The sequence below is a fragment of the Homo sapiens genome, chromosome 14 (genome assembly GCF_000001405.40).
Source record: "Homo sapiens chromosome 14, GRCh38.p14 Primary Assembly".
Classification (NCBI taxonomy): Eukaryota; Metazoa; Chordata; class Mammalia; order Primates; family Hominidae; genus Homo; species Homo sapiens.
The window spans coordinates 103,217,366-103,233,622 of record NC_000014.9 but is presented as its reverse complement, the minus strand read 5'-3'; the positions used below and the strand labels follow the sequence as shown (position 1 = coordinate 103,233,622).

Here is a 16,257-nt window from a genome sequence, read left to right as displayed (position 1 = left end):
ATCCTCTTGCTGGAGCTGCACACAGACAGCTTGTCAGCACAGCAGCCCCTAGAATGACGGCACTGGGGATCTGGTGAATGTGGTAGGGCCCTGGATCCAGCCCTACCTGAAGCTGTCCTGGGATGTTCATCTAAACGCACCACTAAGATGCCCCACTATGTCTTCTTTCTCCAAAGACCTTTTAAAGTTGGATTGTCTAGCACAGGCAACCAAAAGATTTTACCTAAAGCACTATCTTCCTAGCAGTGGGATTACTGCATCAGACTGAGCTTGTGAGGTCACTTTGAGCAAGTATGCACCACAGGAGCCTCCTGGAACCGCAAAGGGGAGCTGGCCCCATGTGCTCTTCTACCGGGCAGGGAGTCTGGAGAGAGTGGGCCGGGCTGCTGGGGGCGCTGGGGCATTGGCTGCCAGCTCCGAACTTGAGACCCGAGACAGGTCCTCAGCCTCTCGGCCTCGGCTCCTCTCCTCTGAGTAATGTGAGTGGTGATATTGCTGCTCCAGGGGGTGCAGGTGAGGAGGAAAGGGGAGGCTCTGGGCAGGCTGGGCACAGGGCCAGGACACCCACTGTGCTCAATCCAGGGGCCCAGCTGTGATGCTGACAGTAGGGGAACCTCAGCGGTTCCTGCCACACTCCGCGCCTCAGTGCCTTCTGATCCGGGGGACCCGGTCCCCAGGGGTCAGCACCTGAGGTCCGGTCAGTGGGGAGGGATATGGAGTCTCTGAGTGTGGCCCCCGGAAGCAAGATTTTAGGAGGCTGGTGTTGCGGGAGGCTTCAGGTTCAGAAGGAGTGAAGGCGCCTGAAGGGAGGGGCCTGGGGGATGGCCTGTGCCGGGATGGTCCCCATCTGCCCCAGCCTCACCAAGCCCTGGCACCTATGGGAGGGGCTGCCCATCCCCCTGCTGCTCCCACTGGGCCTGGCACAGGCAGGGGGCCCTGGAGCTGGCTGCCTTCCCAGCCCTGCCCTCCTGCTGCCCAGCCCTGCCCTCCTGCTGCCCAGCCCCACCCGCCACCCTCCCAGCCCCACCCTCCTGCCTCCCAGCCCCACCCTTCTGCTGCCCAGCCCCACTCTCCAGCCTCCTAACCCCAGCCTCCTGCCTCCCAGCCCTGCCCTCCGGCCTCCCAGCCCTCTCGGCTGGACTCACTCAGGCCGGCAGGTGAGCCTGGCAGCGCCTAATCCTGGCCGGGGGAGGGGGATAAGGAGCGAAGCCCCAGAGCCTGGCTGGGCTCCCTGACGGTGCCTTGGTGGTTGCCACTCTTGGTCTTGCTGCCCAAATGCACTGCGGAGACCCAGGCCAAGGAGCCTGCCCCCCTCAAATGTTAAAGCAGGCCTAGGCCTTGGCCTCCTGCCCTGGGAGGCTCCCAGAAAACCCAGCACGTGGGAGGCAGAGCCCCTCCCTGGCCCAGAGGCCTCCTCCCCAGCCCATTTCTGCCACCCCAGGGCTCTTTGTCCTGTTTTGCTCCAGGCCCAAGGTGGAGTCCCTCAATCCGCACCCTGGTTTCTCCCTTCTCTGGGCCCTGAGCCCAGTAGAGGGAGAGGGGACCCGGGGTGTCTGAATAGGCTCTGGGTGCCATCTGCTCCAAGAGGGCAGGGCCAGGTGCTGAGCACACCGCAGCCCAGGGAGCAGTGGCAGGGGCTGTACCTGGAGGCAGGGAGCTCCCGGGAGTGGAGGGGCTGCTCCCTGCTGGAGTGGGGGACAAGCTCTTCCACCCCAGAGGTTCCTCTGCCAGGGGTGGGTGCTTGGCTGTGGTGTGGTTTGCACTAGAATCTTCTGTGCCTTGCTTGTGTGAATGACCTCCCGTGACCTATGCCCCCGGCGAGTTTTCTGACGTCCTGATGCCCACCCCTCCTGCACTGGCACCTGCGTCCTGCTGGGGTGAGATCGCGGCTCTGTGTTGGGAGAGCCCCTGCTGTCCCCCTACTTCCTGGGCCCTCTCCTTTGGCCCACCTGAGCCTCACCTGGCTGAGGCAAGAAGCCCTGTCTGCTCCCACCTGAGCCAACTGCATCCTGGTATCCTGGGCGGTCGGAAACTCTCCCTGATGACTCTCGGATGCTTCCCACGCCTGGGCCAGGGCCAGGGGTTTGGGGGGCTGTTTTCTTGACACGGCGCCCGTCTCCTCGCTCAAGGACCCGGGACTCCTCAGTCTCTCCCACCTCGCACCGCCTGGACCCCTGTGGTCTCAGTCCAGGGCCCGAGCACAGGGCAGTTCCTGGGACGCTTCCTGGTCCACTCCTGTATCTGGGGGTCCCGCTTTGGTGTCCAGGACAATGTGTGTCTGGGACAGGGGACTGTTCATCTTCTGAGGACTTGCCCTGCAGGTGCCTGAGTCTGCAGATCTGTGGGCCCGGGCTCTGCCTCCATCCTCCTGGGCCGTCCAGGTCTGGATCTGGATCACAGCTGGAGCCCCCCAGGTGTCTGTCCTGCGCCGTCATCCCCGGGCCGGGTGGGCAGAGGCGCTGCCTGCTCTCAGGTGCTCTCTCTGAGCCTGGTTCCATCGCAGCCGTCTTCCTCTGATTACTGCCCCTCTCTGGCCCTCCTGGGGGACCTGCCCAGGGGCCCCTCGCTAGTTCCCAGCTCCCCTGTCTGCTCCAGGTCTGTGCTGTCCCTCCCTGCAGGGATCTCGGTTGCCCCTCCCCTGGGTCAGGTCAGGAGAGAGGACGGGTCTGGGGCTTGGTCTTTCCCTCCGGGGACCTCAGGTGTGTGAAGAATGTCTGATGTGTCCAGACCCCTGCCAGGGAGCCTACCGCAGCCAGGGCCCCTCCAGCAGGGATCGCGGTCCTCAGTCCTGGTGAAGGGAAGATATGGGATGACCTTGGCTGTGGCTGTGACCTGGGGCTCAGGCCAGCCAGGTGGCTCCAAGATTCTGGAGCTCTGCCTGGGGGACACAGACTCCCCTGGGGCTGGCCCATAGCACAGTTGTCCTCCTGGGACAGGGGCTGGCTCTGGGCTATGGTGGCAGCAGAGTCCTTGTGGTCTCCCGTGAGGCTCTCCCCACCTCTCTCCTTCCTTCCTGTACCCTCCATGGCTCCTGCCCCTTCCTGATGGCTGTGACCCTCAGCAAACATCTGCCTCTCTCTGAGCCTCAGTATCCCCATCTGTCATGGCAGGTAGACTCAGTAAGGGGGACTTGCTCCCAGCAGCGGCTCCAGGAACCCCCATTGTGGGCACAGACCTGGCTCCGCCTCCCCTGTCCTGACCTGCTTGCACCCAGGGATCTCATCACCCCTCTCCGCTCCATGACCATCCACAACACCTTTTGGTCTACAGGGCCGGCCACTCCACGGCATCTGCAGGAGAGGCCTCAGGGACCCCGGGCCTCCATCCTCCCCTGTGCCCCAGGACCTAGTGGACCCCAGGCCTGCAGCCCTCCCCACCTCTGACCTCAGAGATGCTCGTCACTTGTTCCATCCGGGCCCTGTCTAGGGTTAATCCCTAGTCAGTCCTGCAACTCATGGCAGCCTTCTATATGCCAGGTCCCTGCACATGAGGCCGCCCGGCCATCCCGCCCTGTGCCCTCTAGAAGGTCCCCCCCTCCTCCCCTCCCCATAGGACCTCATTCCCCCTCCTCTCTCTCACAAACACTCAGCATTTTGAGCAAGGACTTGTCCAGGGTTGACTGGTCGCATTTTGACTTGTAGCAATTTAGTCTTATGTCCCTGCCCACGGGGCCGCCTGGCCCTGCTGCCCCTGTACCCTCTAGAAGTTCCCCCCACCCCTCCCTGTTAGGGCCCTGTCCCATCCCCTCCACAAACGCTAAGCACTTAAGTCTAACAACTCCGGGCACTCTCTTGGGCCCCTTCCCTCCAACTCCTGGGGGCCCCAGGCCCTCCCACCAATGCTTCTGGATCCTTCCAGGTGAGTCAGCAGTGGGGCAGGTGCGGGAGGGAAGGCCATCCAGGCAGGCCCTCTACCCAGGGACCGGATGGCCTGTCCTGGTCTCACATTTCTTGCTGGGTTGGGGGCATGGCAACACCCCCACTGCTGGCCTAGAGGATTAGGGTCCCCTGTAATGAACCTGAAGGGACAGAGCTGGGGACCACCTGTGTGTGCAGGCCAGGGCCTGTGTGCCAGGGATGGAGAGCAGGTGCACCCTGGCCCTGCTTGGGGACCTGAGGTGCTCTTAGGAGTAGGCAGAGGTGACCCTGTTCCTGGGGTCTGGTCACCTTGGGCAGATGAGAGAAGGGGGTCCTGTGTGGACTGTGGGCCTGAGACAGGGCGGCTGTGGCCGCCCAGGTAGGGTGTGGGGCAGGAGGAAGGGAGGGAGAGGAGTGGACCCTGTATTCCCTGCCCCTCTGTCCCTTGGAAGACACTGTCCCTTGGAAGACACTGTCCCTTGGAGGGCTGTGGGCACCACAGTGGGACTTGGGCCCAAGCAGATGAGAGTTGCTTGACCCCAGGGAGGGCCACTGAGGCTCAGAGCCCTGATGTCTTGCTCAGGGCCACAACCTGGGGCAGTGCTGGGTCCCAAACTCCTCCCATCCCTGGACTTGGTACCTGTCGTGTCTCCTGTGGCCTCGGGAGGCCCAGAAGGATGGAGTAGGCTGGGGATATCTGCTCAGGCAGGCTCCACCCCGACCCAAGCACATGTCTGCCTGCTGGGGACACAGAGGCCTCAAGTCCAGCTAGCAGTAGGCCTGGGTGACTTCTGGACAGGGACCCCGCTGTCCCCTTGCCCCCTGCCTGCTAGGGGAGGGGCTGTGTCAGACCCAGCTTCATGTGGAGCTTAGGGAGGTAGGGTCTCCTGGCCTGAAACCCTCATGAATGAGAGGGACCTTCCCTGGGCCTGCCTCCTGGTCACTGTCCCCAGTGGACGCTGCCTCCTCCAGGCTCTTCCCTCCCTCCCACCCCCTCCCCTGCATCCTCCTGCCTCAGCCGGGCCTCGTCTCTCTCCTGACTCCTGCAGTGGCTCCTGCAATCAGACCTCACTGGTGCTGGGGCCTGCCTGTGGCTCACTCCCTTGGGATCCATTCCCAGCCTCCTGTCTGTCCTTTGCCCCTTCTGCTCCTCTGGCCTCCCTGTGATGGGTGCCACCTCCTCCAGGAAGTCTTCGATCTTGTGGCTCCCTCTGTCCCAAACTCTCCCCAGCACCCTTAGTGCAGACTCCTCCCCTCCTTTGTTCCTTCTGTTTGCCCATTCTGTCTCCTGGGCCCCTGCTGAGTCCCTGTTGTCCAGTTCTGGCTCCTTGATGTCCAGGCCTCTGTTCCTGCAGCTCTGGTTCGCCTGTCTGTGAGGGTCCCGCTCATCCCTGCAAAGGCTGCACTTCAGGGCAGGGGTCCGGCCCTCCCAGCGGTGTCTGCCCTCTGCCTGGGGCTGCCTCCATATCAACAACTCCTTCTCATGTGAGAGGTGGGGTGACCCTGGCCGGCCTGCTCTGCTCAGGGGGAGGTTTGGGGACCAGAGCACAACCTTTGCATCAGCCAAGCCCATCAGGCCCCTGTGGCCAATGCCCTCCAGGTGGTGGCTGTGATCAAGGCCCAGCACTGAGTCATTGGCTGCCTGGGTCCCAGGGCACTTTTTCCTTTTTATCATTGATAGGTATATAGACCTATGGGGCACCCATGACATTCTGTTACGCGCATCAAATGTGTAGTGATCAAGTGGGAATGTTCAGGACATCCCTCACCTGGAGCACTCATCATCCCTACGTGGTGGGAACACTGCAAATCTTCTCTTTTGGCTATTTTGGAGAATACAGTAAATATAGTTGTTCCATGGCAGAGTCGGTGACAGCAGTTAATGTGAGGCCTTTCCCTGTACCTGTGTGTGTACCATTAAGCATCCTCTCCATCCGCTCCCCTCCCACCCACATGCCCTCCCAGCCTCGTGTCAGTATCAACCATCACCCCACTCTCTACCTCCCTGAGAGCCACGTTAGCTCCCTGTGAGTATGAGGACATGCGCTTTGTCTTTCTGTGCCTGGCTGATTTCACTTCACGTCATGACCTCCAGCTCCATCCATGTGGCTGCATGAGAGGATTCCCTTCTCTTGATGGCTGAATGGTCCTGCATCGTGTGCACCACGCTCCTTATCCATTCTCCAGTTGACGCCTATTTAGGCGGATTTCAGCAACCGAGCAGCGCTGCAGTGAACACGCATGCAGGCGTCCCTGTGTGCTGACTCGTTTCCTTTGATAATGCTCGGTGCTGGGACTGCCGGATCCTCTGGGAGTCCTATGTGTAGTTTTGTTTCCTCTGGACACTCTGAGGTCTCCAGGGAGCAGGCCCTTCACATGGCTCCAGCCCCACGGGGGCCTCTCCTGCAGGGGTGGGCTGGGTCGAGCTCTGGGGGAGGCCCCAGATCCTGCCTCAACTCAGGCTGGCCCTGCAGGAGGTGTCACTGCTGCAGCCCTGGGGGCTCTGGACCAGCAGCTGAGAGGCTGCCCAGGGCGAGGGGAGTGTGTGTATATGATGGCGAGGGCAGGGGTGACTTTCTCTCCGGAGTGGCCTGAAATCCCATCTGACACAGGTCTGCTCCTGAATCGCCTGGCTGCTCATGAGCTGTGCTCTCAGGGAGAACACGTACCCATCTCACCAGGTGCGCAGATGCCCCCAATAACCTTCCACCTGGTCACCCCCAAGCCCCAGGTGAGACTGAACAACCTCCCTCATTAGGGAGGCTTTCGGGCTGGAGTGGAGCAGCCCCGGGTGGAGCTCAGGCCTGCAGGTGAGTGTGCAGACCAGGTGTGCGTGGGACAGAGCCAGGCCCTCCTGGTGACAGGGAAGTAGGTACAGGTGACAGTGGGAGTCTTAGCCCAGCCTCAGGTGCCTGAATAGCTTCAAAATCCTCATCATCCCTGAGGCTTTGGACTGATGTGTAACTAGCAGCCTAAGAACATTCTTCAGACGCCTCCTGGACGACCCAAGAGCAGGAAACTCTGGGTCACCCCCTGGCAGGGCCCTGCCTCCCCAGGTAGGGCTGAGTGGCCGTGGCCGCACAGGACATTCAGGGTTGTTCAGTGTACTGTGTTGTCAGGAGAGTCTTATTTTTGAAGAGATGGAGCAACTGAAAATGGTGTTTGTGTGATAACAAGCGTGCTCTGGGAATAACCAAAAGAGAAGAAGCTCGTCCTCAAGGCTGGGCCTGAGTGAAGAGGAAGAGAGGACAGGTCCAGGGTTCCGGGAGCTCAGCCGGGCAGCAATTCTGAGGGGAAGTGACATGTGTCTGCCGGGGTCTTCAGTTCCTGCAAAGAAGTTTGACAAGAGCAAAAAAAACAGTGTTAATTAACATCACACAGGCTGCTCAGTGTGGATGGGTTTGAGATGTCTCAGGCTCATGAATCCCTCAGAGCAAAATATTTTCTTCGACAGAAAACACAAAGCTAGTGTTGTTTTGTTTTGTTTTGGGACAGAGTCTCACCCTGTCACCCAGGCTGGAGTGCAGTGACAGGATCTCGGCTCACTGCAACTTCTGTCTCCCTGGTTCTAATGATTTTCCTGCCTCAGCCTCCCAAGTAGCTGAGGCTACAGGCGCCTGCCACCACGCCCAGCTAATTTTTGTATTTTTAGTACAGATGGGGTTTTGCCATGTTGGCCAGGATGGTCTTGAACTCCTGGCCTCAAATGATCCACTGCCTTGGCCTCCCAAAGTGCTCAGATTACAGGTATGAGCTACCAAGCCCACTGGGAGAAAATAAAAAGCGAGTTTTATCTTTTATATCCGTTACTATGACAGATCTTGAAGCTGGTTTCTTAGAAAACAGGGAAGATATTTGTCCTTTGTTACATTCTTGAGTCCTTTTAAGTCTTACTTTGAAAAAGCCAAGTGCGTACTTGTGTGTGTATTTATTTATAGTTAAGAGTAAACAGAGCCATTCCTCGGCCCCAGACTCTAAGTGTTGTGCGCGATTCTCTCGTCATCGCTGCTCTGATCTTGTCTGTCCCATATTCAAGGCAAACAGACAGAAACAGTTCTTCGAGGCCAGTGTCTTTCTGGGAACTCCCGGGTGGCCACTGGACTACATCAAGGATTTATTCTCTCATTGTAGGAAACAAAGGCTGCTTTTAAGTAACTGGATGTGCTTTGCGTTCTCCAGGCTTTAGCGCTTTGGGGAACTGCCCCGTGGCTGATGGCAAGGAGGGAATTTGGCCAGTTAAGTGTCCTCTGTCCCTGGTCAGTCCCGACGGTCAAGCAACACAGGATGTGCGGGTCTCACTCTCGTGTGCCCCTCAGAGGAAGTGCACTCTCGCTGCTGTTCAGAGACAAGCCTGGTATTATTTAACAGTTATAGTTAGTTAACAGTTAACAGTTCTGGGTTTAACGTGCCTATCACCTGGTGATGATGAAACCAGCTCTGTGGGAGAATCTAGTGACCTGCCAGTTCTTCCAGCGTCCCCTCCCAGGGGCGTCGCTGAGGAAGCGCTGAGGCTGACGCTGTGTCTCCAGGCCCGTCCTCGTCCCTGCCAACGTTGGGGGCTCTGACTGTAACTCATGACTCGGGTGCCCATCATCAACAGGTGGTTTCTGCTTTTCCCTCGAGCTTACCTTGAGGACCTGCACTTCAAGCTACAGATCGGAAGTGGAATCTTTCAACAGGAAATACGCAAGGACCCTCCAAGGACTCTGTCCTCAGCCACTGAGATGTGGGGAGTGGGCTCGGGACACAGGCTGCCCAGGTCTTCTGCCCCCATCACCACGAAGGGACGCAGTGGACCAAGCCACGCCTTCCTGGATTCTTAGCCCAGACATAGTTCTGAACGACAGAACTAAGAACAGCCTCATCAGACTAAGCCACTAAGCAGACCAAACGCAGAGACCTCACGCTGACTTCAATGTTCTATTTGGGCTTGGGGGGCGGGAGGATCCTCTGTGGGTGTTTTGTTTGTTTTGGTTCTTTTGTTTTTTGTTTTGGAGACAGGGTCTTACTCTGTCCCCAGGGCTGGAGTGCAGTGGTGCCATCTTGGCTCCCTGTATCTTCTGCCTCCTGGGCTCAAGTGATCCTCCCACTGCAGCTCCACCACGCCTGGCTAATTTTTCCTTTTTTTTTTTTTGGTAGAGCTGGGGTTTCGCCATGTTGCCCAGGCTGCTCTCGAACTCCTGGACTCGAGGAATCTTCCCGCCTCTGCCTCCCAAAGTGCTGGGATTATGGATGTGAGCCACCCTGCCCAGCCTCGATGTTCTATTTGTTATGAGCTTGCAGTCAGCCTCTTCTTAATCTTAAATCCATGGTTTAAAAGTTCTACTTGTAGAAACTGGATAAAATAAAATATTTCAAAAATGGTTCTGTGTTCCGACAGGCCCATCAGAATCCCAAAACACCTCACCAAGTTCTCAGATTGTTATGTAGATCAACAGCCAATTCACAGCCTGAAAGTTAAGGATGATTCTGCGGCAAATACTGTTAAATTGGCCTTGACACAATTACCCCAAGCCATGAGCATTGGTAATATTATCACGGTGCCTTCATGAAATCTGCTTAACTCCTAACTAAGCTCGTGGAGAGTAAACCAGCTGTCCCCCTTGCTCTGAGGATGGAGGGACAAAGACTTTGTGTCCTGTGTGGAGATGCGGCCCGAGGTTCTCCCGGGAGCCTGGCCGGGCTCTCCTCTGCAGTCTGGAGCCGCAGCCTGGAGGGTGGGGGCATCCCAGACAGCGGGGGCCCCTGTGGTTTGGGTGCAAGCACTGCAGGTGGAGGTGGATCCTGGGTGGGCAACTGGTCCCTCCTCTGTTGCTCATCACTGCTACGGGCTGGAGCACAGGTGCCCAGATCACCGCTCCGAGCGTGGTGCCATTCCCGGGTTCAGCTCTGAGGGCACGGAGTCCTCTGTGTTTCAATCAACCACCTTGTCTCCTGAAGGAAATGGATGCAGACTACTAGGAACAAATGCATCTGGAGAGATTTCTTTTCTTTTCTTCTTCTTTTTTTTTTTTTTGAGATAGAGTTTCGCTCTTGTTGCCCAGGCTGGAGTGCAATGGCATAATCTCGTCTCATTGCACTTCCTTCCTGCAACTTCCGCCTCCCGAGTTCAAGCAATTCTCCTGCCTTAGCCTCCCGAGTAGCTGGGATTACAGGCATGTGCCACCACGCCCAGCTAATTTTTTTTTTTTGAGGCAGAGTCTCGCTCTGCCACCCAGGCTGGAATGCAGTGGCGTGATCTCAGCTCACTGAAGTCTCCCTCCACCTCCCGGGTTCAAGCGATTCTCATGCCTCAGGCTTCCAAGTAGCTGGGATTACAGGCATGCACCACCAAGCTAGGCTAATTTTTTTTTTTTTGTATTTTTAGTAGAGACGGGGTTTCACCATGTTGCCCCGACTGGTCTTAAACTCCTGAGCTCAGGCAATCCACCCACCTCGGCCTCCCAAAGTGTTTGGATTACAGGCATGAGCCACCGGGCCCAGCCTGAGATTTCCCATTCTTGAAGGATGGAAGTTTCTAGATTGGCAGGGGCAAGCTGCTGCTCAGCCTAGTAAAGGAAAAAGATGAACTGTTCTCTCTAAAGGTTTGTCCGGTGGGTTTTGTTTTTTCGGTCTGTAAGATTATCTTCCAAAAAAATGGGATTTTTTTTCCCTCCCGCTTCAATCCCTACACCACAGTTTTTGCAAGGAGCTCTAATACTGTGGGAAATAACGGGACCAGTGGTGGCATCTTCTATCTACCCTCTTCTGTTGTTCTATTTACCTGTCTATAACATTTGCTGTTCTAACCATTCTTAGATATATTCCAAGGCACAAAGAACTGCAAATTATAAAGGTCATTTCAGAGTTGATTTAATAATTTTGACACAAATCTGAAACTCAGGGATATAAGATAGACAAAAATACTACGACTCGAAGTTGTCAGCAAATAAGGTAATAGAACTATGAAAGAAGTAAAAATGTTAGATTTCGGTCAGGCGAGGATCACACCTATAGTCCCAGCACTTTGGGAGTCCGAGGTGGGAGGATTCCTCCAGCCCAGCCTGGGTAACATAGCAAGAACCCCATTTCTTTTCTTTTCTTTTCTTTTCTTTTTCTTTTGGACACAGGGACTCCTCCTGTGGCCCAGGCTGAAGTGCAGTGGTCACAACTCACTGTGGCCTTGACACTCAACCTCCTAGGCTCAAGGGATTCCCCCACATCCCTCCTGCCCCACCTCAGCCTCCCAAGTAGCTGGGACTACAGGCATGCATCACCACACTGGGCTAAGTTTATTTTTTGCAGAGACGGGGTCTCTCTATGTTGCTCAGGCTGGTCTCAGACTCCTGGGCTCAATCTATCCTCCTGCCTCAGGCTCCCAATGTGCTGAAGTTACAGGCCTGAGCCACTGCACCTGGCCTGCCTCTACATATTAAAAAAAAAGTTTATAATGCCATTCCTAATGAAAACCTAACACTGACATACCAAAACAAGTCTGTACTTTCCAACTCTGTCCACTGCATGGCCTAGAAGCCTCAAGCCCTCGGGTATGCCAAGCACAGCCGCCTGCAGTGGCTGGTTTCCGAAGACCCTTCCCGCTGCACGGTCTTGGGGGAAAGTCACAAAGGAGCTGGGGCTGCTGCGTTGCCCAGAAGCCGGGGCGGTGCCCGGAGACTCAGGAGGGCAGGTTAGAGGGAGCCAGAATTCACTCCAAGGCTCTGCTGGTCACATTCAGGGACAATGTCAAAACAGGTGACTGTGGCTCAATGAAACACATGGAAAAATAGCAAAAATTCCCGCCTCTAGAGACACAAAGGAGAGGCTGAGTCTAGAAAGGGACAACAGCCAGAGCTGGAGACCGGAGTCTCCCAGCACACCCTTCCAGCTGCTACTGCGGGGTGGTCAGGGCTTGGGCAAGGATGACACCCCCCCAGTCTGTGGCCTGCCTCGGTGGGACCAAATTACACAAACCAGGAAAGCAGACCAAGTTCCCCAAGCACAGCACCTGGGAGGCCCCTCACCCAGCCCCCCACCTCTATCGGAGCCTGCCTGAGCCTCCCGGTTTCCCTTCTAAAGCCCTCCCACCTGCCCGCCTGCTGGCCTCTGCCACACCCAAGGGAGGGGCCCAGGCCGCTGCTCCACAGGCCCTGAATTAAGAGGCCCGTGGTCCTCATTTGGGTGGTCTTCACAATTTCCACACGGAAAGACAGAAAAAAATAGGACCTGCACAAAAGCCGTCTTCAGTCAGCAGGGAAATGCAAACGAAGCCCAAAGGGACATCGCCCAGGCCCCTGGCCATGGTTAGAAGAGACATCACCCAGGCCCCCGTCCGTGGTCAGAAGGGACATCACCCAGGGCCCCGGACCTAGTTAGAAGGGACATCACCCAGGGCCCCGGACCTAGTTAGAAGGGACGTCACCCAGGGCCCCGGCCATGGTTAGAAGGGACGTCACCCAGGGCCCCGGCCATGGTTAGAAGGGAAAGAGATGCCATCCACCAGGACTCTCGCTGCTGGGAGTGTCCAGGGACACCACATAGGTAACGCTGAATTTAAGTAAAACCACGACGGAAACAGGACTGTGGTAACCCCTCCACCCTGTGTGCTCCATCCCATCGTCCAGCTGTACACCCTTAATAAATACAATTTATATCCATCAATTACACCGCAATAAAGCTGGGGAACCATTTTTTAAAAACTACCTCTTGCATGTAACGATTGATAAGAACTTGCAAAGCTGGGAAGGCACCGATTTAAAACTCGCGCCAACGCGGCTGCGCGTTGCCTGGAGGCCACGGCCTCGCCCGGCCCCTGCGCGGGCACTGGACGTCCCGCAGGCTGCATCTGGCGCCCCGATGAGCGCTCCTGGACCCCCGCGGCCTCGCTTCCAGCCACGACCTCCAGGGCACGGCGCCACCCCGACGGCCCAGCCAAGGCCTCCCCGCCGAGGCCGACGCCCTCGCCACGCCCTGGTGCCCCGAGGAGTCGCCGGCTCCCGCGCGCAGAGCTCCCCAAGCCTGGGCGGGCGCCTGGATAGCGCGACCGGCACGGACCCGCACGGGGTCTTGGCAGAGACGCGCGGGACTTGGCGGGGGCCACTCCCTCCTGGCGGGCGGGGCAGGAAACGCGCCGCGAGGCTGCGGGGGGCGAGGGGAGGGAAGGGGCGAAGGAACCTCAGCCTCCCCACCCCAGCCCCGCCCCCGGGCCCAGCTCCGACCCCGATGCGTCCCTGAGGCCTGGGTCCCAGGGGCTCTCCGCGCCCGGTCGCCCCTTCCCGGAGTCGCCACGTCCAGATCTTGTCACCGGCCCGGGACCACCTCGTGGGCCGGGCGGGGTGAAGTGCCGTTAGGAAGGACGGTCCCATGGGATGGGGGGCCGGGGAACAGGAGACGCACGCCAGGTCGGGAGAAGAGGACGGACTGCGCAGAGCAGAGGCCGCAGAGGGTCGGCCCGGGAGCGCGGGGGTCCCTCCACACGCTCCCCGTCCCCGCTTCCCACGCGGCTCCCTTCGGACCCCAGGGCAGGTGGGGACGAAGAAGTGAGTCGGGTCCCCGCTGCGGGCCGTCGTCCCCTCCAGCCAGGCCATCTCCAGGGCTTCAGGTTGGGGAAGGGGCTCCTGTGGCCTCCTGACCTCGGGCCTCGCAAGTGTCTGCCCTGGGGTAGGCACTGACTTGGTGTGGATTGATTGATGAATTGACTGGAAGAAGGAAGGCACCCTAGGAACTGCAGGCTCTTCCACTTAGGGCCTGGGTTTCAACTCAGTCCCCACTCACCACCTTTTCCATGTGTCTTCAAAGCCCCTCTTCACTCGGGGGTGACCCTGTCTGTCCAGAGGGCTTGCAGCCTTCAGGGACGCAGTTTCCAGTTTCTGGGCGCCCATATGGACTCTCCCCTGAAGGCCACCTCCCCTTCCCCTGGGAGCAGGGGGCCTGCAGTTTCTCCCACTGCTCACCTTGAACTTTCTTCCTCCGCCTGTCCGGGAAAGGCCCATCCGGCTCATCCCAAAGGCCCAGGGCATCTTGGTGAAAAACCCCAAGGGCGACAAACAAAAGACCTCTACGATCTGGTTTAGAGTAGACAAAGCTCCTCTTTTTCCCTCCAGCACATAGCTCATTTAAGAACAAACTTAGACACTGGATACTGTAGTTGGGTGAAGTGGCTCAGGCCTGTAATCCCAGCACTTGGGGAAGCCAAGGAGGGAGGATTGTTTGAACCCAGGAGTTTGAGACCAGCCTGGAGAACATAGTGAGACCCTACCTCTACACACACACACACACACACACACACACACACACACACACACACACACACAATCAGCTCCTGCTGGTGCACACCTGTAGTCCCAGTTACTAGGGAGGCTGAGACAGGAGGATCGCTTAAGCCCAGGAGGTTGGGGCTCTTGTGAGCCATAATTGTGCCACTGCACTCTAGCCTGGGTGAGAAAGCAAGGTCCCTGTCTCAAAAAAAAAAAAAAAGAAAAAAACTGGATACTTTGGCCCTCGTTGAGGATACGGACATATATATACACACATATGTACACTCACGCATCTATGGTGTAAAGTGGCAGCCATGACTGTCTCTTCACCTGACTTGTCTAGAAATGCTCAGCTCCTGAGGCAGTGACCCTAGAGGGACAGAGACTGCATCTGGGAGAAATGTGGAAGGGTCAGCTGCGTCCAGTGGGCTCCCTGAGACACTGCAACTGCTTTGTCCGGGTCGTGTCTACTAAGTGGAACTCAAGCAAGAGTCTCCGTCTCTGATGCTGGAGTGGAATGTCCACGGGGGCAGGTAATGAAGAAGGGAAATTCAGGAGCAGCTGCAGCCCCAGCAAGACAGACAGAAATCCATGTCAGTTCCTGATTCCTTTTGCTTAAAACACCTCCTTTACAATTTGCTTTAGTGTAAATGTTAGTGACAAACTCCTTTGTGCTGCAAGTGTCTTTATTTGGCCCTTATTTTTTATTTATTTATTTATTAGAGTCTGGCCCTGTCACCTAGGCTGGAGTGCAGTGGTGCCATCTCGGCTCACTGTAGCCTCCAGCTCCCGGGTTCAAGTGATTCTCCTGCTTCAGCCTCCCGAGTAGCTGGGATTACAGGCACGCGCCACCATACCTGGCTAATTTTTGTATTTTTAGTAGAGGTGGGGATTCACCAGGTTGGCAAGGCTGGTCTTGAACTCCCGACCTCAAGTGATCCACCCACCTCAGCCTCCCAAAGTGCTGGGATTATAAGCGTGAGCCAGTGTGCCCGGCCACATTCATTTTTAAAAATTTGCAGCCATTTGCTTTTCAAATGTTTTGCTCTGGTCCAGTTTCTGTCCTTCTGGGGGCCTCAAATTCCACCTATGTGAGACTCCCCTACCTTTGTCTCTTCTCCCTCTTCTCTATTTATTACTTTTTTGGTCTGTTCTGAATAATGTATCTTATATCTCTCAGTTCATTGATATTTCTCTTCACCTGTGTTTAATCTACAGTTCATTTATCAATTAAGCATAGCAGTTTTAAAGCTGTTGTGTCTTATTAAACCAGTATCTTGGGTCTCTATGGGTCTGTTGTTATCTGTTTGGTTTTGTTGTTGCTTGGATTTTTTTTTTTTTTAAATCTTATTCAGTATGGACCTGTTTATCTTTTATTATATACTAGATAAATCCTCTGTAGAAATAACTTGAAACTTGGGTTATTCTCTTCCTCCAGAAGAATTTCAATGGTTTCATCCAGATGCCTGGAAGCACTAACAATAAAAGAGCACCTTAATCTAATTTCAGGGCTTGAGATTTTCCTGAAAAATCTCCCTAAAAGTGGGTTTCAGTCTCTCTGAAGGCTGATTTACTTAGTTTACCTTCACTTCCAGGATGCAACTTTTGAGATCCCAGCCCACAGCAGCAGATGTTTTACCTGGATTCCTAATCTTGGTGAGCTGTGGACTCTGTATTGATTATTTGTTGCTATATAATGAACCCAAGGCTTAGCAGTCTTAAATTTAAAAGATTTATTATTTCTTATGAATCTGAGTGTTGGCTGGGCTTAGCTGGATGGTTCTTCTGGTTTACATGGTTTTGGCTTAGGCCACACATGCCCTACATTCAGCTAGGAGCCCAGCTGGGGATGGAATATCCATGCGTTCACTCACACAGCTGCTGCCTCATCAGGGATGGCTGGATTAGCTTGGGGCTAGGAAACTCTCTCTTTCTCTTTGCATCCTCTCTTGTCATCCAGGAGTCTAGCTTTGAGCTTATTTATGTGGTGGATGAGTTGCAAGAGGACAAAAGAGGAGACTGTCAGTCCTTTTAAAGGTTTGGCTTGGAGCTGACACAATATCGCATTCTATTATTCAAAGGAAGTCAACAGCCAGGTCCGATTCTAAGGGACGGGAAATAGACTCACCTCCTTATGGGAGCTGCAGCTTTTGTGTGCAGGGGGAATA

At 56.1% G+C, this 16,257-nt stretch overlaps 2 annotated features.

Moving 5' to 3' along the window:
- Positions 6,109-6,609: an enhancer, noted in NCBI's record as "H3K4me1 hESC enhancer chr14:103693351-103693851 (GRCh37/hg19 assembly coordinates)". NCBI's record gives its function as "activates a minimal SCP1, AML or CMV promoter by ChIP-STARR-seq in naive H9 embryonic stem cells {active_cell/tissue: H9 hESC(naive)}" and the evidence as "EXISTENCE:reporter gene assay evidence [ECO:0000049][PMID:30033119]".
- Positions 6,610-7,110: an enhancer, noted in NCBI's record as "H3K4me1 hESC enhancer chr14:103692850-103693350 (GRCh37/hg19 assembly coordinates)". NCBI's record gives its function as "activates a minimal SCP1, AML or CMV promoter by ChIP-STARR-seq in naive H9 embryonic stem cells {active_cell/tissue: H9 hESC(naive)}" and the evidence as "EXISTENCE:reporter gene assay evidence [ECO:0000049][PMID:30033119]".